The 25,764-nt window shown below is 38.3% G+C and overlaps 1 protein-coding gene across 10 annotated transcripts in view; it reads right to left on the bottom strand.

Annotated features, from left to right (window-relative positions):
- CAMKMT (calmodulin-lysine N-methyltransferase) overlaps positions 1–25,764 on the bottom strand; it is a 410,646-nt gene that overhangs the window by 24,163 nt on the left and 360,719 nt on the right. For 6 of the 10 annotated variants that reach the window (NM_024766.5, XM_047445878.1, XM_017004982.3 and 3 more), the window contains one exon: positions 4,734–4,808. In NM_024766.5, coding sequence (NP_079042.1) covers positions 4,734–4,808 — 75 coding nt within the window. Of the gene's footprint in view, positions 1–219; positions 1,086–4,733; positions 4,809–7,005; positions 7,195–24,613; positions 24,702–25,764 lie in introns of those variants that run through there. The other 4 variants (XM_011533111.3, XR_939723.2, XR_007081736.1 and 1 more) reach the window with 4 other exon arrangements.

Here is a 25,764-nt window from a genome sequence, read left to right as displayed (position 1 = left end):
CTAAAACCGGTAAGATCGTTAGAAAAAAAAAATGAACAGCACCTTAAGAACTGAGCTTCAAACATGCCCTTATAAAGTGCTATTTCCCCTTAAAGTTGGTCAGGATTACAAAGATGTTAACATCACAGCTTAACACACGGCACACATTCCAAACAGACTTATTTGAAAGGTAATGCTGTCTACTCCATCTCTCCAAATCAAATTTCCCAAAATTAATTCTTTGTAGTTCTCTAATAGATCTTTATTCCAAGTAAGCTCACTTGCTACTTAGCTCTGATGCAGAATTTATAACACTTTGTAGAGTATGTCATCTGAGCAATTTCAATGTGTTTTAGAGGGAATGATATATAATCTCCTGAAAATTCACCCCTTAAATAAGTCTTAATGGGCTGAGAGAACAGCAGTAGCTTAAGTGGATCTATTAAAAAAGGCTGAGTGGGTCAGTGATGGGGACAGAGATACCATTTTAACTCTCACTTCAGTTACTGATCAAAATACATTGGCAGTCTAGTTTGACCATTAAAGGGCACCCATGCACACACACACACACAGACACACAGACCTCTATATAATTCACTTGTGGATCAACACTTGCTTTCTTCCATTGATCTGAATCACAGATTTTCCAACAAAGGAAAGGTGCCAGACCATTTTCATCACCTCCCTTAGAATCAGTTTCATGCAGACTGCAGAGCATCTGTAATTCCTCTCATAGGGAAGTTAATTAGTGCAGAGAACAAGGAGACATTTTTCTCTGTCAATAGCCACAGAAAGGAAGACCCCTATGTAATTTTCAATGTGAAATGTGCTGAGTTAAAGTCACTGTTTTAGATTTAACTTCAGCAAAGGAATGACCTCTTTCAGTATTTACCAACTGATTTTTATGAGAGCTCAGAATAATGCTGTATTCTAATTTTACTTGGCTCTACCCCTTTAGTTGAGCAATCTTGGGTGATTCATGTATTTTCTCTGGGACTGAGTCTTCTCAGGTGTCAGGTGAAAGGGCTGACTATATTTGGGCGAAAGATATTTTCAGGTGTAAACTTCCGTGAGTTGTGATTTGGAGCTGTCCATGATCACAGCATCTGAAAGAAAACAAATTCTAGAGCCTACAGTATTTCCATTTTGAGGGAAAAAAATTTTCACAAAATCAGCTTAAAAATCAAACATTTTTCATCATTTAGAGCAAAGTAAAAAGGACTAAAAAAAAGAAACAATTTAGAGTATATAGCAAGTGCAAAAACGCTGAGAGAGCAATCGGGGTGGGTTGCTACAGGCCAATGTACTTTCCCTTATTTCTTTCCAAAGTCTCGGGCTGCAGGCACACAGATGTGCTGATTGTCCTGCATACCCAGCTCAATGGGCCGGTCAGGGTATGGGTGGCATTTCAGATATGCTTTCTAAGCCTTTTGAGAATTCAAATGCACAGAGTCATTTCTATTTTTGCAGAGCTACAATAAACTGGAGGGCCGTTCAAACACTGAATGAAAGCGTTCATTGGATAAAAAACATCTTACTTCCAGACCCTTAGATTATATTGTGATTGAACAGGAGTCTGGAAAGGCAGGCTTAAAATTAACAATCACTCACTATTCTAACTCAGCAAGGACCAGGCTGGACTGCATTCCAGCAGAAAGGAATCCTTATATTAAACTCAACATTAAACAAGTCAACTGAGGAACTTAATAGGCAGGTTTTTTTTCTACACCTGTGGTTAAATATTCTAATATTTTGATGTTTGTCAATAGCATCCTTTTGCAGGTATGGCTGCACCTCATTTTTTCCTTCTGTTTATTTCAAAGTTGACATTTTACAAGTTATTTAGGAACTGCTGAACCATGAAACTATTTTTCATTGTCAAAAATGCTGAATGGTGAAATAATGACTAGCTTTCACAGTTTGCCTCTTTATTTTATAATCTAGTTGAGCTACTAAATTTAGTTGTGAACTAACAGACTGTCTCTTCTGGGAAATAAGTTATTTCCCCCACTGCCTACAGGTTTTTGAATGTTTGAATGTAAATATCTGAATATATGAATGATTTAAGAACATAAACATATCACCATTTGTTGTAATCATGTGCATTTTACTTGAACCACAATGTGGGTTTGGAATAGGTTTGTGAATAGAGCTTGTTTTCATGTAAATGGGATCAAGCAGTACCACTGGTTAGCTATTCAGGGAATCAGACAATGCCACCCTTGCTGGAAACGCTTCAATAAGATTTTAATCCATGTACCTAATATTTGAACTCCGACTCTTGCTTCATATTCCTGTGGCCTAATCCAGATCTCATTGCTGACAATGACTAAAGGATGGTGTGAGACTTAATGTGATCTATTTATGTGTGGCACCTCTTCCTGACACTGAGGATTTCAGGTTTCGTCTTGGAGGTAGTGTCTAAAGAGAGCTTTCTTTTCCTCCCCAGTGACATTCTTAAAAATATGTAGCACGGTTTGCCTGCCTGCCTGCCTGCCCCTAGAAGCAGCATCCATGCAATAACTCTTACAGAGAAACACCACACCAACAGGACATAAAGAACTCGTGGAATCCTGTGCTTCACTGCTACATGCACAACGTGCATATTAGAAATATTACTGTACTTTCTAAGTTTCTAAGCAGCTTACCCATCCCCGCGAATATGAAGAGAGACCATTACCAAAGCATTTCTTTTGGAAATACTATCAGCATCGCAGTGAGAGTAGCTTAATGTTTCACATTTACAAATGGGAAAGTATAAACAGGCTGACATTCTGGCATTTACAACACCCAGGGGAAAAAAAAAAACAATTCATGCATGGAAAAGCCATTTATAAAATGAAGCTTGGTGTATTTAGTTCATTTGAAGCCATAAATTCTCACACAGCTACCAGATGTGTATCTATGTGTGTGTGTATACATATAATATTATGTTATGTGTGTGTAATGTAAGTCTTAAATTGAATATGCATTATGTATATCAGTGTACGTGACCCTGTTGTCGGCTAGGGAAAAAAGAATGTTTTCCAAACATGTTGTGTGGCTATTTTTAACCTGAGAACATTAATCAGAAAAGAGCTTAAATCTTACTTCCTCTGCTTTTCCCTCTGGTACAAATAGGATGACATGGTGAGAGTGTCCATAACACAAGGTATGACAAAGCCAGGCTGTTTTGATATTTGCGTAAGGGACAAATTTAACTCTAAATCTCCTGGCCAGACCTGCCTTCCCCATATAATCAGAGCCCATCCACGTGTGACCCTTGTCTAAAGCTTCAGGAAGATGCTGCCCCTTCCCTTTTGCCGCTGCTCTCTGATCTGACTTTCATGCTTAATCTGATCTAATCCTGCCAGCATTATCTTCATCTGTGCAATGAAACCTGGAGGATTCTTTCTCATATTTGGTGAGGAAAGGCATTTACTAAATTACTTGCTCGAATCATACGGTGAGGTTTTAGCTCCTTATTTTTGATTAGATGAGGGCTGCAGCATTGAGGCACATTATCATTGATTAGTCAGAAATCCAGGTTTCTCCTATTTTTGGAACAAGATTTTCTGAAATTGGGTGCAAAAAGACTAAAAGGGCTATGAAAAACTAGAAACTCTCAGCTAAGAATAGACAAAATATTTATTTTTCATGGAGAAGTGTTTTTTTTTCTGAAGAAAAAAAGCAAACCTAATTCCAATGACTTTTGTAGAAAAGTTATCCATTGAAAATCTTATTAAAATAATAATAATAACAAAACCCACTTCCTGAAAATTTCATTCAATTCTCCTCTAGGGAAAGTCTTCCCTGAGTTCTGGATCTTATGATTGGCCTTATCAATATAACAGAACTTCTTCAGAATCTGAACTTAATGTGTTTTCAAATCTAAAGTGTCCTAATAAACATCATGATAAAACCTCAAACAAGATCTTACTCTTAACAGGGAAAATACTTGTGAATTGTCAATGTTTCCCATAAGCTGAAATAATTATTATTCAAACTGCATGAAGAAATACATAAGATTAGTTGAAATAATTATTAAGGTCTGATGCATATTTATCCTGTAACTTACGATCAGACTTTCATTAACAAATAAGTAGATTGGGCTAAAATAGAGGGCAAAATACCGAATGTAAATTATTTTTAAAAGGCAGGCACCTGACAGAGATTGTCATGTTATTATTTGCATAAGAATAAAATGTAATTTTATAATTTTTGTTTTAGGTATAATTAACTATTATAATTGAATACACTGAAAACATTAGATAGCAAACATATATTTTAAGAAAAGCTATTTCCCCAAAGATATTCCACAGATATGTTTATTTGCTAGAGAGTATGTGTGTGTACACACACACATATATTTTCCCTTATATCAATAGTCAGATCTCTCCTAAGAAGTAAGCTAATTGAGCTGTTTGTGTTGATAAACTCCTTTTTCTCCAGACTATTCCTCTCCGAGCCATAATTATTTGCAATTTGCCTAAGTCGTCCATTTACTGATACGTCAAGCATGAAACAGAGGCAATTCCAGAAAATGGAAATGCTTCTCAAAATCAATCTTTGGGAAATAATGTGGTAGAAGTTACTGTGTGATAGAAGACTACCTTATAACTGTCACATGGAGATGAATATTAATTTGTTGAGGTTAAGGTGGCTTTGTGCTTCATTTGTTGACTTTGCTTAGCCGTCAGCTAAGCAACACAGCCCAATTACTCCAGCAAAGCTATTTTTTTCTAACAGGAGTTTTGTGATTTTTATGTACTTACCAGTCAGCACACATAACAATGTCAAAATGTCCTTCCAGTTGAGAGACATCTGTCTCATTATCCCATCGTAAAACGCTTGAGGAGAAAAAGATTTTAAAAATTATACATAGGGTTTTTTTTAAATTTTGATTTTGAGCTATTAACATTATTTTTTTGTGGCACTTGAAATTATTTAAAAGGTATATACAAATTATTTCAAAAGGTATAATAAAAAATAGGATGTAACTGTCTTCTGTGTTTTATTTAGTATTCAAATCTAGAAGAAGAATTCTCTACTTAAATAAAATAGTTAACCTTTTTGCTAGTTTTTATAGGTTTTTGTAGACAAACTAGAGAAAAATATCTTATCTTTACCGTAGTCATTATAATGATTCTAGACCCTTAACATCAATAAGGTACATATTGAAACCAAAGTATTCCACATTTGACTGGAACACAAATTTATAAAAATAAATGATGTGAGACAGCTTATATCTATACTGCCTGGCATATCAGTTGCTTTTCATATTGATGAAATGAGCAATTTGGTAAGATGGAAGAAAAGAAGAGTCAAATTTCATTTGGTAGTTCTTGGTTTTTAGGCATAGTGAAAAATTCACCCACACTGACACTTAGTCTCCCAAAGGGGATCAGGTTTAAAACTTCACATTAATAACAATAATTAGTAACATGCATTTGAAAACTTTACTAATGCTTATGAGGCCAACCAGAGGTTTTTAGTTACTCTCAATTAATAACTGTGATGATTAGCATTTTACCATATTCAAGTATTTTAATGATTCGTCTTACCACAGCACCAAAACTGTGATTTACAGTACTATTTTTCAAAGTAAAATTCTGTTCCTATTTTCTATTTTGATTCTTTAAACCTAACCGGATTGAACATGTCCTACCCTGCCCAGTTATATTTGCTTATTTTGGTGGATTCATTTCTTCTATATCTTCCCTAGGTGAAAAGTCATGTGTCTGAATGTAATAATAAGTCTTATACCAGTCAGCCCAAAAGTTCTTTTCATATACAATACATTAATATATATTAATGCCAGTAAATTTCTCAAGGTAGAAAAGATTAAAGACATCACCACAAAAATACCTACACACGCTGGGCAGCAGTTGTTCATTGACTTGTCCAACTCGTTCCTACTGAGCCACTCCTCACTGTGTGTCAGGTCCTGTGCTGTGCCATAGACCATGCCTTCACAGGGGCAGCTTGATGGGCCATATGGACACAGAAACCCCCAATTCCTACGCTGTATCCTATGCATTGGGTGAATATACAGACTTGGAGCATGGGAGGGCTTTCCAGAAGCAGTGGGTTACCTCAGGGTTCACAAGTCCAGTAACACCCAGATAAGCTTTACAAATTAACTTTAGTGTTGCTGTACTTGCTGAGGCCTACTGGATAGGCAAGAAATGAAGGAAATTAGGAAATCCTAAGAGATCAATGCTTACGTTGTTTACGGATTTCTCAGAAACTCCATGCACCTGGGGAGAGCAGGAAGCAACAAACACCAACTTTTCTGGAAATGCTGAGGCTCCCAGTGTATCTGGGACTCAGGCTCAGTGAGAGATGGGGCCTTCCCAGCCCTCATCACAGCCCTGAGTTTTAGAGTCTAAGACTTGAACCATGAGCAAGATGGTTTAAAGTATACATCTATACTAGACATTCTCTGATCAGAAAAGTAATGTATCTATCCATCATATGAATTTTGAAAAAAAAAGATTAAAGTATTAAAATTACTCATAATCTTACCATTCCATAAATGTCTCTTTAGAATTTGCTTTTAATACATATGCAATTACTAAAGCACAAGAACAGACTGCAGGAAATCCTGTGGTGATAGTGGATGCTGTATTCCTGAGGTGCTTCAGCCCCTTGGTTCAACAAAGACAAACTGGAGAGATAGGGGTCTAAGCAGCGACTGGGTATGGATTCCCACAGCAGCTGTAATGAGTCATGACTCTAAAATAAATTGAAATGCCTGGCTTGGTCACATGGACCATAACACATTCCTAAAAGGTATTTTTCCCCAGTTCTCATGAGGCTTATGGCTGTGCTACATGCATGTGACAGAGAAAGAGAGTGGTATTGTGGACAGAGTTCAGCTTTAGCACAGCAGACAGACCTAGGTTCAAATCTTGGCTCCTCCCCTTAGTAGCTGTATGAGTTTAGGCAATTATTTAACCTTTCTGAGCTTGTTTTCTGATCTGTAAGATGGGGATAACACTAGCTATCTCCTTGAACATTCTAAGAGCACCATTCATACAGTACCTGGAGTTGTATTGTTCATGTAACATACAATGAGAATGGTGCTTCCTGGAGCTGTGCAGTCAGGCAGCCTGCTATCTTGGAAGACTAGAGATGATGGTGAGTTCACTGTTCACTCCTCTCCTCCAGTGACCTTGTCCTCCACCTTTGGAGATACACTCCCATGCATGCTCGTGAGAGCATGTGCTTCCACTGTGGGGGAGGACCAGACTTTGTTTGTATCTAATCTGTTGCAGACCAATACTTTTGTAAAATATAGTCACAAAAATGAGATTAAAAACACAAAGGCATTCCAAATACAAGTCCACTGATCATATGCTTGGATGTCGCAGCAGTGTTTCTAAACATTTATTTTCAATTTCTGAACTTATCTCCTTGCAGATCAGTAACACACAGTTCACAGACTGGCACCAGTCCATGGCCTACTCATTGAGTGGCACTCCTCCAAACCTATCTTTACCAGTTACTGCAACTCTAGCCAATCTCTGACCAACCCCTCCTATCTTTCACAGCTCATTCTTTCTAGAAGGTACTCTTCAGTCCCACTGGCCCACACTGATCTTATCACCATGTCACTATCCCACTTCCCTAATATTTATCTTTCTTTCTTGCTCAGCTTAAATTTCATGACTTATCATTGTAATTACTCCCTTGCATACACCCTCAACTTCCTTGTCCCTCTCTTACTTCCTCGTATTTGTTAAATCCAGCTCTCTGCCTGGTCCATGACTGCACCTGTGCACCTGAATGTGGCTAGAGACAGCACACAAGCATCCTCACTGGCTTTGCTTTAAATTCATGACTATGAACCTCAAGTGGACTCTTAATGACATCTGGCAGTTATACTTACATTTCCTTTGTCCATTTAGTTTCCCACTATCCTAGGTCATTATTTTGCACTTTGTACTCTCCCTTCAAAATTCTGACACTATTCCCCTCCTCCTCACTTTCAGCTGATGACCCTGCTTCTTGCTTTACTGTCAAAATTGCAGCAATCCAGCCGGGCACGGTGGCTCATGCCTGTAATCCTAGCACTTTGGGAGACCGAAGCGGGTGGATTGCTTAAGCCTAGGAGCTCGAGACTAGCCTGGGCAACATGGCGATACCCCCTCGCTGCTAAAAATACAAAAAATTAGCTGGGTGTGGTGGCACACACCTGTGGTCTCAGCCACTCCGGAGGCTAAGGTGGGAGGATCATCTGAGCCCAGGAAGTCAAGGCTGCAGTGAGCCATGATCTAGCCACTGCACTCCAGCCTGGGTGACAAAAATGAGACCCTTTCTCAAAAAAAAAAAAAAAAAAAAATGCAGCAATCAGTTAAGAACTTCCATAAACTCCTACCACCACACTTATGCTCCTAATAGCATCTGCATCTACACATTCTGCCTTCCTGCCCATTACCATAGATGAACTATCTATACTCCTATCTACAGCCAGTACCTTCTCTTATGCCACCTAGATCCATCCCCTTTGATCTATTCTAGGACGTGCTCTAGCAATTTCCCTTCTGTTTCCTATATCAGTTCTTTTCTCTCTCTGGATTACTTCCATCAGTATTCAAACATGGAGTTATTTCCCCCTTTGTAAAATATCCTCTCCTGACAGTTATTGCACCATTTCTCTATTCCTCCTTTGCAGCAAAACTCTTTGAGAAAATTGTTTGACGCTCTGTTGCCAATTCCTCTCCTCTCATTCTCTTAAAATTCACTCCAGCCAGGCTTTTGTCCCCACCGTTCCACCAAAAATGCTGCTGTCAAACTCACCAAAGATCTCCACATTGCTAAATTTAGGTCAGTTCTTAGTCTTTATCTTACTTGACCTATCAGCCTGAACCTCTCCCATGAACTCTAGATTCATATATCCAACTTCCTATTTTAATATTTCCACTTGGGTATCTACTAGACATCTCAAACCTAACATGTCCAAATTTGAATTCCCAATCATTTTCCCTAAAACTCACTTCATTCAGTCTTTTTTAAATCTCGTTATTGGTAATTCCATCTTTCCAGTTGCTCAGGCCAAAGACCTTGAATATATCTTTGACTCTTTCTTTTACAGTCCACATTGAATATGCCACAAGTGCAGGTCATTCTACCTTTGAAATATATCAAAATCTAACCACTTCTCTCTATCTCTACTGCTCTCCCCAGTCTAAACTACTATCATCTCTCATCTGAATTATTTCATAGCTCCCTAATTGGTCTCCCTGCTTCCATCTGTCATCCAACAATCTCTGCTCAAGAGAGCAGCCAGAGTGATTCTTTTAAAACATGTATCAGATCATGAGCCTTTTCTCTCTTCACTCAGAGCAAAAGCCAAAGTCTTTACAATGACCTGAAAACCCTTACACAATTGGGCCTGGTTACCACTCTGTCCTCATCTACTATTACTCTCCTCCTTGGCCTCTTTGCTCTAGTAACACTGGCCTCCTTATGCTTTCCTGAATATACTAGCATGGTTCTGTTCTAGGGTCTTAATACTGGCTGCTTGAGCAGCCAAAATGCTCTTCCTCCAGATATCTCTATAGCTACAGCTCACTCCGTCACCTCCTTCAGGTCTTTGTGTATATGTCTTACCTTCTCAGGGAGGCCTTCCCTGACCATCCTCTTTAAAACTGCAATCATTTATTTTCAGTCCAGCACTTCTAAAACCCCCTTATCTTGCTCTTTATTTTTCTGTAGCAGCTATTACCCTTTAATGTGCAATATAACTAAATTATTGATTTTGTTTCTTCTCTCTTTCCCCACTAGAATATAAGCACCACAGGGATACAGATTTTTAAAATCTGTTTTGTACAGTGATGTATTTCCAATGTCTAGAATAGTCCCTAGCACCTAATAGCTGTTCAATAAATATGCCATATGGATGAATTGTGTGTGAATGTACCTAGCACAGTGCCTGGCACACAGAAGGCCCTCAAGAAATAGAGGTTTCTATTGTTAAATTGGTCTTTGAATACAATGTGTGGATTAGCTAGATATGAAGTCCACTTAAAATGCTTTCTAAAGATTTCTGCTTCCAGCAAAGATGGCGTAACAAGGCCCTCATTTAGCTTTTTGTCTAAAACAACAACAGAAAACCTACACAAAACATATAAAACAATAGTTTTCAAGACACTGAACATCAGCAACACAGGACAGTAATCCTTAAGAAGACAGAAATAAATGAAATGAGCCCTACCTTTACCCCAGCTTACTGCCTTGAGAGTTTCCAGGCCATAGCATAGATGGAGGAAATGAGAAAGAAGCAGGTGGACTGCCTGAGTTAAGAAGATGGGGCCAGGCATGGTGGCTCATGCCTGTAATCCCAGCACTTTGGGAGGCTGAGGCGGGTGGATCATGAGGTCAGGAGTTTGAGACTGGGCTAGCCAAGATGGTGAAACCCCGTCTCCACTAAAAATAAAAAAATTAGCTGGGCACGATGGTGGGCACCTGTAATCCCAGCTACTTGGGAGGCTGAAGCAGGAGAATCGCTTGAACCTGGGAGGCAGAGGTTGTAGTGAGCCTAGATCACACCACTGCACTCCAGCCTGGGTAACAGCGAGACTCCATCTCAAGAAAAAAAAAAAAAGAAAAAAAAGAAGATGGAACTGAGAGTCTAAGAAACTTCAGAGTTCCCAGGATAAAATACTGAATAGGAGAGCACTTGAGAGAGAAAGAGAGAGAGAGAGAGAGAAAGAGAGAGAGAGAGAACTCTGGAGATCTGTGGATGGTCCCCCTAGAATATTCTGTGGATGACTGATCATGCATGTATGTGAGAAAACTACTTGAAGTTGGGGAAAGATCATGTCAAAAAATTGAAGGGGAGTAGGTCAGTGCTCACACAGGGCCAGGAATAGTGAGTGTTCCACCAGCCAGATTAGAAAACCTCATAATTTACAAGCATTGTGTAGAGTCCTCAGAAGGGTCTTGTCTCAATAGTAGGGAATAATTAGCCCTAGACTAAATGCTGCTCTGGTTCTGCCTAACAAATCTTAAAAGCAAGACCCAAACATATCAAACTATTTCAAAGTAATTTAACTGTATCCCAGAACAAAACTCAAAAACACACTTTGGGCGGTCAAGGTGGGAGGACTGCTTGAGGTCAGGCGTTCAAAAACAGCATGGGCAACATGGCAAGATCCCATCTCTACAAAAAAATACAAAAATTAGATGAGCATGGTGGTGCATGCTTGTGTTCCCAGCTACCTGGGGGGCTGAGAAGGGAGGACCACTTGAGCTCGGGAAGTTGAAGCTGTAGTAAGCTGTGATTGTGCCACTCCACTCCAGCCTGCATGACTGAGTGAGACTCTGTCTCTAAAACAAACGCAAAATCTCAAAAACATTTACAGAAATATAAAAACATTCAGATCCCAACGAAGTAAAATTCAAAATACCTAGTATATAATCCAAGATGGCCAGACATATAAAAAATTGAAAAAATAGAAACCATAATGACAAGACAAATCAAACAACTGAACTCAATCGAAAACTGACAGAGATGTCAGAATTAGCAGACACGGGCATTACAATAGTTATCATAATGGTCTTTAATATATTCTAAGAATCAGGTAGAGACATGGGAGATACCTTTTAAAGCCCCAAATCAAACTTCTAGAGATGAAAACTACAATGCCTGAGAAGAACAATACATTGGATAAGATTAACAGCAGATTAGACACCGCAAAAGAGAAGACTAGTGAACTTGAAAACATAGTGATAGAAACTATCCAAAATGAAATATATGGAGAAAAAAAGGAATAAAATAAAGAGTGAGCTGTGGGACAATTTTAAGTGGTCAATACATGTGAAACTGGACTTCTCAAAAAATAGGAGAAGGGAGACAACAGAAAAAATATTTGAAGAAATAATGGCTGAAAAATGTCCTAATTTAATGAAAACTGTTAACTCAGCAAGAAATTTCAACAAGCCCAAACACAAGAAACATGAAGAAAACTAGCAGGCACATAATAATAATCGAATTGCCTAAAAGTAGTGATAAAGAGAAAATCTGAAAAGCACCCAGAGGAAAAAGATGTTTTATATAAAAACAAAGATAAGGATGACAGCATATTTTTTTTGTGAGGAATATGCAAGTTAGAAGACAGTGGAGCAGCATCTTTAAAGTACTGAAAGGAATAAAAAACAACTGTCAACCTAGAATTGTATAGCCAGTGAAAATATATTTCAAAACAAGGTGAAACAGATGTTTTCAGACATACAAAAAGCTGAAGGAATTAATCACCAGCAGACCTATGCTGCAAGAAATGTTAAAGGAAATCCTTAAGGCAGAAGAAAAATTATATCAGATGGAAATGTACATGAAGGAATCAGAAATACTAACTATATAGGTAAATATATATATGACTGTTTCTTATTACTTAAACCTCTTTAAATATAATTGGTTAAACAAGCAAGTATTGTGGGGTGATAATATATGTATAGATAAAAAGTAGGACAATAGTAGCATAAAGACTGGCAGGGGACCAATGGCAGTATACTACTGTAAGGTTTTGTTTTGTTTTGTTTTGTTTTGTTTTGTTTTGTTTTGTTTGAGACAGAGCAGGCTCGAGTACAGTAGCATGATCTCAGCTCACTGCAGCCTCCGCCTCCCAGGTTGAAGCTATTCTCCTGTCTCAGCCTCCCGAGTAGCTGGAATTACAGGCACCAACGACCACGCCTGGCTAATTTTTGTTTTTGTTTTTTTTTTTCAGTAGAGATGGGGTTTCATCATGATGGCCAGGCTGGTTTCAAACTCTTGGCCTTAAGTGATCCGCCCACTTTGGCCTCCCAAAGTGCTGGGATTATAGGCATGAGCCACCATGCCCAGCCACAGGTTTTAATAATATACATGAAATGGTATATCATTTGAGGATAGTCTGTGATAAGTTAAAGATACATACTATAAAATCTAAAGCAACCACTAAAATAAAAAACAAAGAGTTACAGCTAATAAGCCAACAAAGGAGATAAAATAGAATAAGAAAATAAACTCATTTAATCCAAAAGCAAGCAGAACAAGATGAAAGGGGGAACAAAGAATAGATGAAACACAAAACAAATAGTAAAATGACAGATTTAAATCTAACCCCATCAGTAACTGTACTAAACAAAAATGGTCTGAACGCTCCAATTAAAAGGCAGAGTGTGTCAGACTGGACAAAACAGCTAGACCGAAGTACATGTGGCTTACAATAAATGCATTTTAAATATACAGACACAACTAGGTTAAAAGTAAAAAGATGGACAAAGCTATACCAAGCAACACTAGTCAAAAGAAAGCTGGAGTGTCTATATTCATATCAGACATAGTAGATTTCAGAGCAAAGAATGTACTAGGAATAAGGAAGATCACTTTACAATGTTAAAGGGTCAAGAAGCAGACATAACAATTCTAAATATTCACGCACTGAATAACAGAGCTTCAAATTTATGAAGCTGAAATGGATAGAAGTACAACTACAAAAAAACACAGATGAAACCAAATTATTGTCAGAGATTTTAATACTCCCCTCTCAGTAATTGATGGAACAAGTAGACAGAAAATAAGCAAAGCTACAGATGACTTAAACAACACTATCAATAACTTGACTTAATTGATATTTATAGAATACACTCAACAATAGCAGAACAGATGTTCTTTTCAAATAGACCATTTACCAATATATACCTATTCTGGGTCATAGTGTAAGTCTCAATAAATTTAAAATGATTCTAGTCATACAAAAAATATGTTCCCTGGCTGGGCATGGTGGCTCATCCCTGTAATCCAGCACTTTGGGAGGCTGAGGGGGTGGATCACTTGAGGTCAGAAGTTGAGACCAGCCTGGCCAATATGGTGAAACACCATCTATACTAAAAATACAAAAATTAGCCTGGCATGGTGGTGCATGCCTGTAGTCCCAGCCACTCAGGAGGCTGGAGCAGGAGAATAGCTTGAACCCAGGAGGCAGAGGTTGCAGTGAGCTGAGATTGCACCATTGCACTCCAGCCTGGGCATCACAGCGAGAACCTGTCTCAAAAATAAAAATAAAAAAAAAAAGAATGTTTCCTGACCACAATGGAATTAAACTAGAAATCAATAATCTCTGTAAAATTCTCAAATATTTGGAAAATAAATAATATACTTCTAAATAACCTGGGGTCCAAAGAATAAATGAAAACATAAACTGACAATTATTTTGCGTTGAATGAAAATACAACACATCAAAATTTATGGGATGCCACGAATGAAGTACTTAGAGGAAATTAATAGCACTAAATGGCTATTATTAGGAAAGGTCTCAATTAGTGAACTCAGTTTCTAGCTAAATATTCAAGAAAAAGAAGAGTAAGTTAAACTTGACCAGAAAAAAAAAAAGAAGTAATAAAGATTAGAGCAGAAGTGAATAAAAAGGGAAACAGAAAAATAATAGAGAAAAATCAATGAAACCAAACACTGATTCTTTGAGATCAATAAAATTGATAAACCTCTAGCCTGACTTATCAGGAAAAAAGGGAGAAGATATAAATCACCAATATCATGAATATGAGAGGTGCCATCAATACAGAGTCCATAAATATTAAGAGGATAATATTTATGCAATATTAATACAACATATCCAAAGTTGTCCATAATATACATATGAACATACATATGGCAATGCATCATGATCAAGTGGGGCTTATCTTAAGAATATAAGAAGGTTGGTTTAACATTTGAAAATTGATCAATATAATCTACTATATTAGCAAGCCAAAAAAGAAAAAACATATGATCATCTCAATAAAGGCAGAAAATGCTTCTGACAAAGATTAATGTCTGTTCCTGCTAAAAACTTTCAGCAACCTAAAAATAGAAAGGAAATTCTTTGGCCTGAAAAAGGTCATCTATGAAAAACCTATAGTTAACATCATACTTAATGGTGAAAGACCCGATGCTTTCTTCCTAACGTCAGGCATAAGAAAAGTATGTTTTCTTTCATTCTTCAACACTGCACTGGAGATTACAGTCCCTTTCTGTATAAAGAGATATACAAAAATAAGCTTCTAGAACTAATAAGTGACTTTAGTAGGATTGTGGGATACAAGATCAATGTACAAGAATCAGTTGTATTTCTTCATAAAATCAACAAATAATTGGAAGTTGGAATTTCCAATTTTATACTGTTTACAACAGCATTAAAAAACCATTCTGTTTATAATAGCATAAAAATATGAAACACTTAAAGATAATTCTGACAATGGATGAGAGAAATTAAATAAGACCTAAGTAAATGGAGGCAATTTGGTGAGCAAAGGATGAAATGATGTTTTAACAATTGAGTCTCCATTTTTTAAAAACAGAACTTCAATCTATATCTCACACCATATGCAAATATTGATGCAAAATGAATCATAAACCTAAATGTAAAACCCAAAACTATAAAACTTGTAGATGAAAATGCAGGAGAAAATCTTTGTAACCTTGAGTTAGGTAAAGATTTCTTAGACACACACAAGAGTCTTGATCCTTAAAAGAACAAATTGGTAAATCAGACTTTATTAAAATTAAAAACATTTGCACTTTGAAAGATCCTGTGAGGAGAATGAAGACGAGCTACAGGCTGGAAGAAAATGGCAAATCATATATAGTATCTGATATAAGCTTATATCCAGAATATATAAAGAACTCCCAGAGTATGTCAATGATAAGAAAAACAAGCAACCCAATTTTTTAAAAAATGAGCAAAGCATTTGAACAGACACTTCACCAGAGAAGATACGTGAATGGCAAATAAGTACATGAAAATATATTCAACATCATTAGTCCCTAGGGAAATTCAAATTAGAACTCCAAGCTGGGCATGGTGACATGTGCCTATAGTCCCAGCTACAAAACTGTTTTTTAAACAAACTGAACAGAAAATGCTTTCTGAAAAAGAGCAAGGCGCATACAAGTAGGACCCTTACCTATATAAGTTTTACCATCTAAAGCATAACATTCATGTGCGAAGACATGTAAAGGATGGTTCTACCAGACATCAAATCATGTCAACATGTTGCTTGTAATTACACTGACACCAAAGTAAAATTTATATTCTCTCCATTTTATTTCATCACAATATTAAAATCTTATTTCCATTCAAAATTCATTACAAAGTAAAATACAATTTTGTAAGCAGAAACATTACAAAATCAATAATCATTATAGAATTCTCCATGTTTTAGAAAAATCTTGGCTGGGCACTATGGCTCATGCCTGTAATCCCAGCACTTTGAAAGGCCAAGGTGGGAGGATTGCTTGAGGCCAAGAGTTTGAGACCAGCCTAAGCAACATAGTGAGACCCCTGTCTCTACAAAAAAAATAAAAAATTAGCCAGTTGTGGTGGTATGTACCTGTTGTCCTAGCTACTCAGGAGTCTGAGACAGGAGGATCACTTGAGTCCAGGAATTTGAGGTTACAGTGAGCTATGATCTTGCCACTGTACTCCAGCCTGGATGACAAAGTACGATCCTGTCTCTAATTTTAAAAATAAAGAAAAATCATAACAGCTATGGACATGCCAAACCTATGAAGTTTAACAGGTATAGTATAGCAGAAAGAATGCATGGGCTTTGTAGCTGGATAGCTCTGAGTTCAAACGCAAGGCAGTGAAGATGAGAGATGCTGAGTATCATTGCCCTCATCTGTAAAAAAGAGACAGTAAGAGTTGCATCACAGGACTCATTAAGAATTGAAAGAGATGGAGTAAATGAAACCACATTATAGGTGCTCAAGAAATATTAGTTTCCCTTCCCTTATTCTTGTACTAACTTATGTCCTTTCATTCTGGCTTTGAGTTTGGGGTTTCAATCTGAAAAACAAAACCAAGTCAATTTCTGATAGGATTTTTACCTTGTGATGCAAAACTCACACTGAAAGAATTTCTCAAACAGAGAGTCTCTGTTTCAAGTTTGTAATAAAACCTAATGTCAAATGGGTTCACCCTAATTTGTATTTCATTGCAGTGATCACAGATAACTCTCCCTATAGAGGTTTAAAGAATTTATTTTCTCATATTCTCATGTTTAGTACTTCTTTGTTTACCTTTATATTTTCAGACTCCTGGCTGTAGGGGAGTGAGTCCTGTTTTTTGTTTGTTTGTTTTCTGAGACAGAGTCTTGCTCTGTCACCCAGGGTGGAGTGCAGTGGCGCAATCTCAGCTCACTGCAACCTCTGCCCCCTGGGTTCAAGCAATTCTCCTGCCTCAGCCTCCCTAGTAGCTGAAATTACAGGCATGTGCTACCATGCCCAGCTAATTTTTGTACTTATAGTAGAGACGGGGTTTCGCCATGTTGGCCAGGCTGGTCTCAAACTTCTGGCCTCAAGTGATCCACCCGCTTCAGCCTCCCAAAGTGCTGGGATTACAGGTGTGGGCCACTGTGCCCGGCTGAGTCTTGGTTTTAAACTCTGCTGTTAAAAAGGTAGTTTCTTGTGTATTTGTGAAAGTAGTGCACTGATAGAATTCTTGATCATGCTTGCTAAATGTAATGAACTTCAAAAACAAGCTATCTTACCAGCAGTAGGGAAGGCAGCCATGTTCTTTGTATGGCTATTATAGGCATTCTTTACAGAGGATTCCAGTATCCTTTCCCACAGTTTCTTTTATGTCACTTCTCAAAGTCTATGTTGGCACAGCTCACTCTTGTAGAGGGCCATTTACAGTGTTTACAGTGTTCAAGTCATTTACAGTGTTTACCCAAACCAGTGAATCACTTCTCTTCTTTCAAATGATTTCCTATTTGCCACTTTCTCCTCCAATTTTCCTTATCTTTTATAGAGTTTTAAACTTCCATATCATAGAAGCCTCTCTAAGAAAGTGTTTTAAACACTTAGAGAAAAGGACACCATCTAAATCTGGAATTGAAAACTCAGAATGAAAGGGGATATTGATCCGTTGACTTCCTAATTTGGGAGTCGTCTGTCTATAAATGTTATTGAAGCCTCAGTGGATGCTGTGAGCAGCAGTACAATGAGGACATGTTCCTCAAGTAGCAAAATCATAATCGTCAAAAGGAACATACAGTCATATTCGGAAGACAAGACATTCAAATGAAACAAAAGAATTACCGATGGCCCTATGTAAGTAAGGTACTACCAAAGGAGTAATCACTGTGGACTGGACAAGTTGGGGAAGGTATCCTGAAGAAGGTGGAACTGCATGTGATCTTACACACAGGATCTGGATGGGGAATGAAGAAGCAAGAGGACATATCAGACAAAGCCTAAAGAAGAGGCCAGGGTTTGGAGGCTGGAATGAACACACTCACGCTTTAAGCTCCCCAAATATCCCAAGTCTTTGTTCTCAGCAGGTGACCTTACAGAAAGCCTGAGGCTATCTATCTGATACCATCTTTCTCCTCTTCTTCTTTTTCTCCTTTCCTCTTGTCTAAAAGGAAGTAGGGTCACTCTTCTCATTAAGGAGAACTTCTCCATCTGTGTGCTGGATAAAGCCACCCCTTCCTCTTCCCTAGTGGTTTTCAAACTTCGGCATACATCATAATTCTTAGATAGTCTGTTGAAATACACATTCCTGAGCTTCAACTCCAGAGTTTCCGATTCAGCAGGTCTGAGGTGGGGCCTTGGAATATGCATTTCCAACAAGTATACAACTGATGCTGGTGGTGCTGGTCAGGGGGCCACACTTTGAGAAGCCCTGATCTAGATCTTTGCCTCATCAAATATTTCCCTTTCTTGTCTCCACTTCTTTCTTCTTTCTTCTTTCTTGGCTGTAGCGGCTTGCCTGATCACATGCTCAACTCTTCCACCTCAGCTTCCCCTTAGCACACACACAACTTCTCTCCCTTTGCCACCAACATTCTTATGGGAGTGGACACTCCCATTGCTTCACCTGCCCTGATGATATGACCTTTCTTCCAACAGTCACTGAACTACTTTGCAATCTGCCTGACCTACCTTCAGTAATCTGCAGCAGCCAACCACACTCTCCTTGAAATGCTTTCTTGGACTTCTTCCATTAAGAAGTGGTATTATACCGTACCACCCTGAGCCATCAACCTTGCTCTCCAGTCCCTTCTTAGTATCCCTTTCTGGCTCTTTTTACTACTCCTGACACACAGACATTTTCTAAGATTCTGTCCTTGGTCATCTTCTCTTCTGACTTTCCAATTCCCGTAGTTATGTTCTGATCACTTGATTTTGATCTCCAAATCTTCTAGCACAATATTTTTTCTGAGATCTGAACTTTTATTTCTAACCTCTTGTAGTTACTGTCACATATCTATTCTACTGCCACCTCAAATGTAAATTTCCAAATGGCTATCTCTTACTCTGCCTCTATTTTACATTCTACGTACAGTCACTTCTCTGGAATGACCCCGTATTTGCTCACCATTTTCCACTCTCATTCAGGCTGGGGCTCCCTCTTTTTCTCTCTCCGGTACTACTGAAATGGCTTTTTTTTTTTAAAAAAACAAAAGACATGTTGTATTGTGAAATAAGACACAGTAAACCACACGGAATAAATACATGCCTTAACTATTATCAGGCAAACACCCTTCTAACCACCACCCAGATTAAGAAATAGAAAATCCATACAAAAGATCAATGAAACCAAGAGTTGGTTCTCAAAAAAAAAAAAAAAAAAAAAAGGATAGACCCCCTAGCTATCTTAACAAAGAAAAAGAAATAAAAGATACAAATAAGCACAATCAGAAACAACAAAGGTGACATTACAACTGATGCCACAGAAATATAAGAGATCCTCAGAGACTACTATGAACAACTCTATGCATACAAATTAGAAAATCTAGAGGAAATGGATACATTCCTGGAAGCACACAGTCTCCCAAGATCGAATCAGGAAGAGATGGAAACCTTGCATAGACCAACATCAACTTCTGAAATTAAGTCAGTCATAACCTACAACAAAAAAAAGCCCTGGACCAGATGGATTCACAGCTGAATTCTGCCAGACATATGAAGAAGAACTGATACCAATCCTACTGAAACTATTCCAAAAAATTGAGGAGGAGGGGCTCCTCCCTAACTCATTCTATGAAGCCAGCATCAGCCTGATACCAATCTCTGGCAAAGACACAATGATAAAAGGAAACTTCAGACCAATATCCCTCATGACCACAGACACAGAAATCCTCAACAAAATACTAGCAAATTGAATCTAGCAGCAGATCAAAAAATTAATACCCCATGATTAAGTAGGCTTTATTCCTGGGATGCAAGGCTGGCGCAACATACACAAAACAGCCAGGTGCACTGGATCACGCCTGTAATCCCAGCACTTTGGGAGGCCGAGGCAGGAGGATTTCTTGAGTCCATGAGTTCAAGACCAGGCTGGGCAGCAAAATTAGACCCTGTCTCTACAAAAAATAAAAATAAAAATACCCTGGTGTGGTGGCACACACCTATAGTCCCATCTACTTGGGAGGCTGAGGAAGGAGGAATGCTTGACCCCGGGAGGTTGAGGCTGCTGTGAGCCATGGTCACACCACTGCACTCCAGCTTGGGTGACAGAGTAAAACCCTGTCTCTAAAAACAAACAAGCATATGTAAATCAATAAATGTGGTTCACCACATAAACAGAATCAAAAGCAAAAACCATATGATCATCTCAATAGATGCAGAAAAAGTTTCTGATAAACTCCAACATCCCTTCATGATAAAAAACCTCAACAGACTAAGCATAGAAGGAACATACCTCAAAATAATAAGAGCCATCTATGACAAACCCACAGCCAACATCATCCTGAATGGGCAAAAGCTCAAACCATTTCCCTTGAGAACTGGAACAAGACAAGGATTCCCAGTCTCACCACTCCTATTCAATATAGTACTAGAAGTTCTAGGCAGAACAATTAGCAAAGAGAAAGAAATAAAAGGTATCCAAATAAAAAGTCAAACTATCTCTCTTTGCTGTTGATATGATTCTATACTTAGAAAATCCTAAAGACTCTGCCAAAAGGCTCCTAGAATTGATAAATGACTTTAGTAAAGTTTCAGGATACAAAATCAATGTACAACAATCAGTAGCATTTCTTTACACAATGTCCAGGCTGAGAGTGAAATCAGGAACACAATCCCACTTAAATTAGCCACAAAGAAAATGAAATACCTAGGAATACAGCTAACCAAGGAGGTAGAAGATCTCTGCAAGGAGAACTATAAAACGCTGCTGAAAGAAATCAAAGACAACACAAATAAATGGAAAAACATTCCAGGCTCATGGATGAGAAGAATCAATGTTGTAAAAATGGCCATACTGCCCAAAGCAATTTACAGGTTCAAGGCCATTCCTATTAAACTACCAATGTCATTCTTCGCAGAATTAGAAAAAGGTTATTTTAAAATTCATATGGAACCAAAAAAAGAGTCCAAATAGCCAAAACAATCCTGAGCAAAAAGAACAAAGCCAGAGGCACCACACTACTGACTTCAAGCTATACTATAAAGCCATAGTCACCAAAACAGCTTGGTACTGGTATAAAAATAGACACATAGACCAATGGAACAGAATAGAAAGCTCAGAAATAAAGCCGCACACTTGCAACCATCTGATCTTCAACAAAGCTGACAAAAACAAGCAAGGGGGAAAGGACACCCTGTTCAATAAATGGTGCTGAGATAACTGGCTAACCATATGCAGAAGAATAAAATTGGACCCCTACCTATTGCCATATACAAAAATTAAATCAAAATGGATTACGGTTTTAAATGTAAGACCTCAAACTACAAAAATCCTGGAAGACAACCTAGGAAATACTCTCTTGACATTGGCCTTGGCAAATAATTTTTGGCTAAGTCTCCAACAGCAACTGCAACAAAAACAAAAATAGACACGTGTGACCTGATTACACGAAAGAGCTTCTGTATATCAAAAGAAACTACCAACAGGGTAAATGGACAATACACAGAATGGGAGCACATATTTGTAAACTATGCATCCAACAAAGGCATAATATCTAGAATCTCTAGGGAACTTAATAAGCAAAAAACAATAACCTCATTTAAAAAGGGCAAAGGACGTGAACGGACACTTCTCAAAAGAAGATACACCAAGCGGCCAACAAACATATAAAAAATGCCAGCATCACTAATTACCAGAGAAATGCAAATCAATACCACAGTGAGATAGCACCTCACACCAGTCAGAATGGCTATTCTTAAAAGGTCAAGATACAATAGATGCTGGCGAGGCTGTGGAGAAAAGGGAACGCTTACACACTGTTGATAGGAATGTAAATTAGTTCAACCACCATGGAAAGCTGTCTGAAAATTTCTCAAAGAACTTAAAACAGAGCAACCATTCGACCCAGCAATCCCATTACTGGGTATATACCCCAAAGAAAACAAATCATTCTACCAAAAAGGCACAGGAAACCAAATACCACGTATTCTCACTTATAAGTGGGAGCTAAACATTGAGCACACATGGATATAAATATGTGTGAACAATGGACACAGCAGACTATTAGAAGGTGGGGGGCAGTTTTAAAAAACTACCTATCAGATACTATGCTCACTACCTGGGTGATGGGATCTGTTCTCCAAATCCCAGCATCATGCAATATTCCCATCTAACAAATCTGCACATGTACTCCTTGTATCTTAAATAAAAGTTGAAAAAAAAAAAAGAAATAGAACTTCTCTTGGAACCTTAGAAGTCCCTTCATGTGCTCTGTCTCATTCATCTCCCCTTTCACCCCAGTGTGATGATTTCTTAACTGGTCTTTCTGCCTCTAGCCTCTCTCTATTTATCACAAATAGCTAAATCTGGCTGGACACATCTTTTCTACTTCTACCTCTTATTTCCTCCCTGCCTTTTATACCAGGAATGCCCACTTCAACTTCTTTCCTTTCGTTATCTTTAATTTGCTAGATCACAGCTCAAGGTCCACCTCCTTCATGAAGCTTTCTCAGATCCTTCCACCTTGAATTGGCAGATCTCTTTATACTCACATAGCATGGTTAACTCAATTAGAGCAGACTCTGTCTTGTAACTTGGTAGCTGGGGAAATGTCCATCTCTTGTCTGGACATCTTGAGCTTACTAAAGGCAGAAACCTCACCTTAATCTTTATAACCCATAAAAAGCCCATCATAGTACCTTACACATAGCAGACACTAAATTATATTTCATTGCACTGAACTGAATAATAAAAGTTGGACTAGAATAGCAACTTAGTAAAATATTTTAGGCAAAAAACTTTTATTCATTAGAAAAATCAATTCCATGCCCTTATTTAAAGAAGAATGTATGTAAGACCGATATAGCACTCACATGCATACAGGTACACACACACACACACACACACACACACACACACACACGTCCAGAAAGCAAGACAATGCTGTAAAAGAGATCCAGGCAATATTTTTGGATCTCCATTTCTCATCTAGTCTGGAACTAATATTTCTCAGCTGGGATAGTCTTGAGGAACAGGACAATTCTTCATTGTGGTGAACTGTCCCTTGCATTGCAGAATATTTACAGTTGCTGCTCTTCCCAGTACCATAATAGCACTTAGCTATTGTGACAATAAAACAAAAATGTCCCATATGATTACAAACAGTGCAGAGGTGGACACACAGTCCACTTCTGGTTGAGAGCTGTGGTTGGACTATCCCCTCAGGCCTGTCCACCTCCGATATGTGCTTCTTGTTGAATCCCAACAACTAAAAGCTGTGATGTAGACAAGAAACGAATCAGAATTACTTTCTTATCTATACAACTTTCCCCTTTCCACTGAGGTCACATCTTCACTAAGATGATACCATAGAAATTCAGAGTCCAATGTGGGGAGTAAAGCTCTCACATGAGAGTGAAAAAATGCCTCTTCTAATGACAAACAGAGGCTATCCATGGATTCACTCTCACGCTTTCAGTTTACTCATCTGAGCAACAATCCAGGGATATAAAATGGGCTTCTCGAAGCATGCTCTGTGCTTCAGATATATTAGAATCACCTGAGAAGGTGATTCAACTGTCAGATTGTTCAAATGTCGGATTGTTCAAATGAACCTCAACTCTATGGAGTTTGCTTCAGCAAGGTTTATGTGATGTCTGGAAACCTGTTTTTAAAATTAGCACTACAGGTGATGATGGGTCATGAACCACTTTGAAAATCTCGTTTCAGAAGATCTCTACCTGTATGAATTTACATTTAGAATATTCTTTTTAAAAAATTTTTAAGAGAGGGGATCTTGCCGTGTTGCCCAGGCTGGAGTACTGTGGCTATTCACAGGCAGGATGATGACACACTACAGCTTTGAACTCCTGGCCTCAAGCAATCCTCCTGCCTCAGCGTCCCTAGTATCTGGGACTACAGGCACACGCCACTGCACCTGGCTAGAACATTCTTTAGCCACAGGCCTAGGCTTTTTAGTCCCAAGCATTTAAAGAAAGTGCCATTCCAGAGAAGTGACAGTTCCCCTAAGGACAGACTTGATTAAGAACACTTCCCTTATCTCAGAGAAGGAAGCAACATCACAGATTAACCAAAACAGGATTTCACATATGTAAATTCCTTGAAACAGATTATCTGATCAACTTCATTGATTTTATCATGAAACAAAATTATTTTACATTTCTGGACTAGGAATAAGGCTGGGAGAAAGGCGAGGGGGAAGAAAAATTAGGTCTCAATGAAATGTTTACCTCAGAAGACCTGTAAGATTAATGAATTCCAGACAAATGAGAGCTGACTGTAAGTCAGGTCCTTTCCTTTCTTGTAAGTGCATAACATCTACGAAATAAGCAAGAAAATACAGTGGATGGAAGTGGCTTCAATGAATGGAAATCTGAACAACTTTATTATTTTATTTATTTATTTATTTATTTATTTATTTATTTATTTATTTATTTATGTATGTATTTATTTATTTTGAGATGGACTTGCTCTGTCTCCTGGGCTGGAGTGCAGTGGTGTGATCTCCGCTCACTGCAACCTCTGCCTCCCAGGTTCAAGCAATTCTCCTGCCTCAGCCTCCCAAGTAGCTCGGATTACAGGTGCCCGCCGACACGCCTGGCTAATTTTTCTGTTTTTAGTAGAGGTGGGGTTTCACCATGTTGGCCACGCAGGTCTTGAACTCCCAACTTCGTGATCCACCCACCCTGGCCTCCCAAAGTGCTGGGACTACAGGCATGAGCTACAACTCCCGGCAAGAAAATTTGAACAATTTTAAAGCAATGGAACACTGCAGAATTGAATGAGAAGCTCTCAGCGAGAACTCTAGTTTGGTGGTCCCCACGTGAGGGCTCCAGACCAGGCGTCAGAGTTACCTGTTAGAATGCAAAACCCCAGGCCTGCCTCAGTCTCTCAGGGTGTGGGGATCTAGAATGTGTCATAACAAGCTCTACAAATGATTCTGAGAACAAAGTTTGAGAACTGTTGTTCCAGCTTATCACTTACATTTTTCTGGACTGACTTTAAAACTGATCCCAGCTCTGTGTTTTTGTTTGGAATTTAGCAGAAATGAACTTATTTCAGAGTCCAAAAGAGGGATATTTTCCTAACATTCAGACCCCCCTCATGCTGGGGACCAGTATATTCTGCACTGGTTAAAGAGGACTAGAAAGGGTTTCAAGACCTTGAAATGAAAGGTACTAATTATTTTACTAATTATATTTTCCGTTTCAAGTATCTCTGATCCTATGACAGCTGATTAACTTACATAGTAGCAAAACAAAGTGACAACAAAATATTAGAATGAATGGACTAGAAAGTACAATTATATACCATCTCAGATGAAATCACAAAATTATTTATTGCTTTTTGGTGTTTTCATTTATTTTTCTTCCTTTTTTTA

Source organism: Homo sapiens, chromosome 2 (genome assembly GCF_000001405.40).
Source record: "Homo sapiens chromosome 2, GRCh38.p14 Primary Assembly".
Classification (NCBI taxonomy): Eukaryota; Metazoa; Chordata; class Mammalia; order Primates; family Hominidae; genus Homo; species Homo sapiens.
The sequence above is the reverse complement of the archived record's forward strand: the minus strand, read 5'-3'. Positions and strand labels throughout refer to the sequence as shown.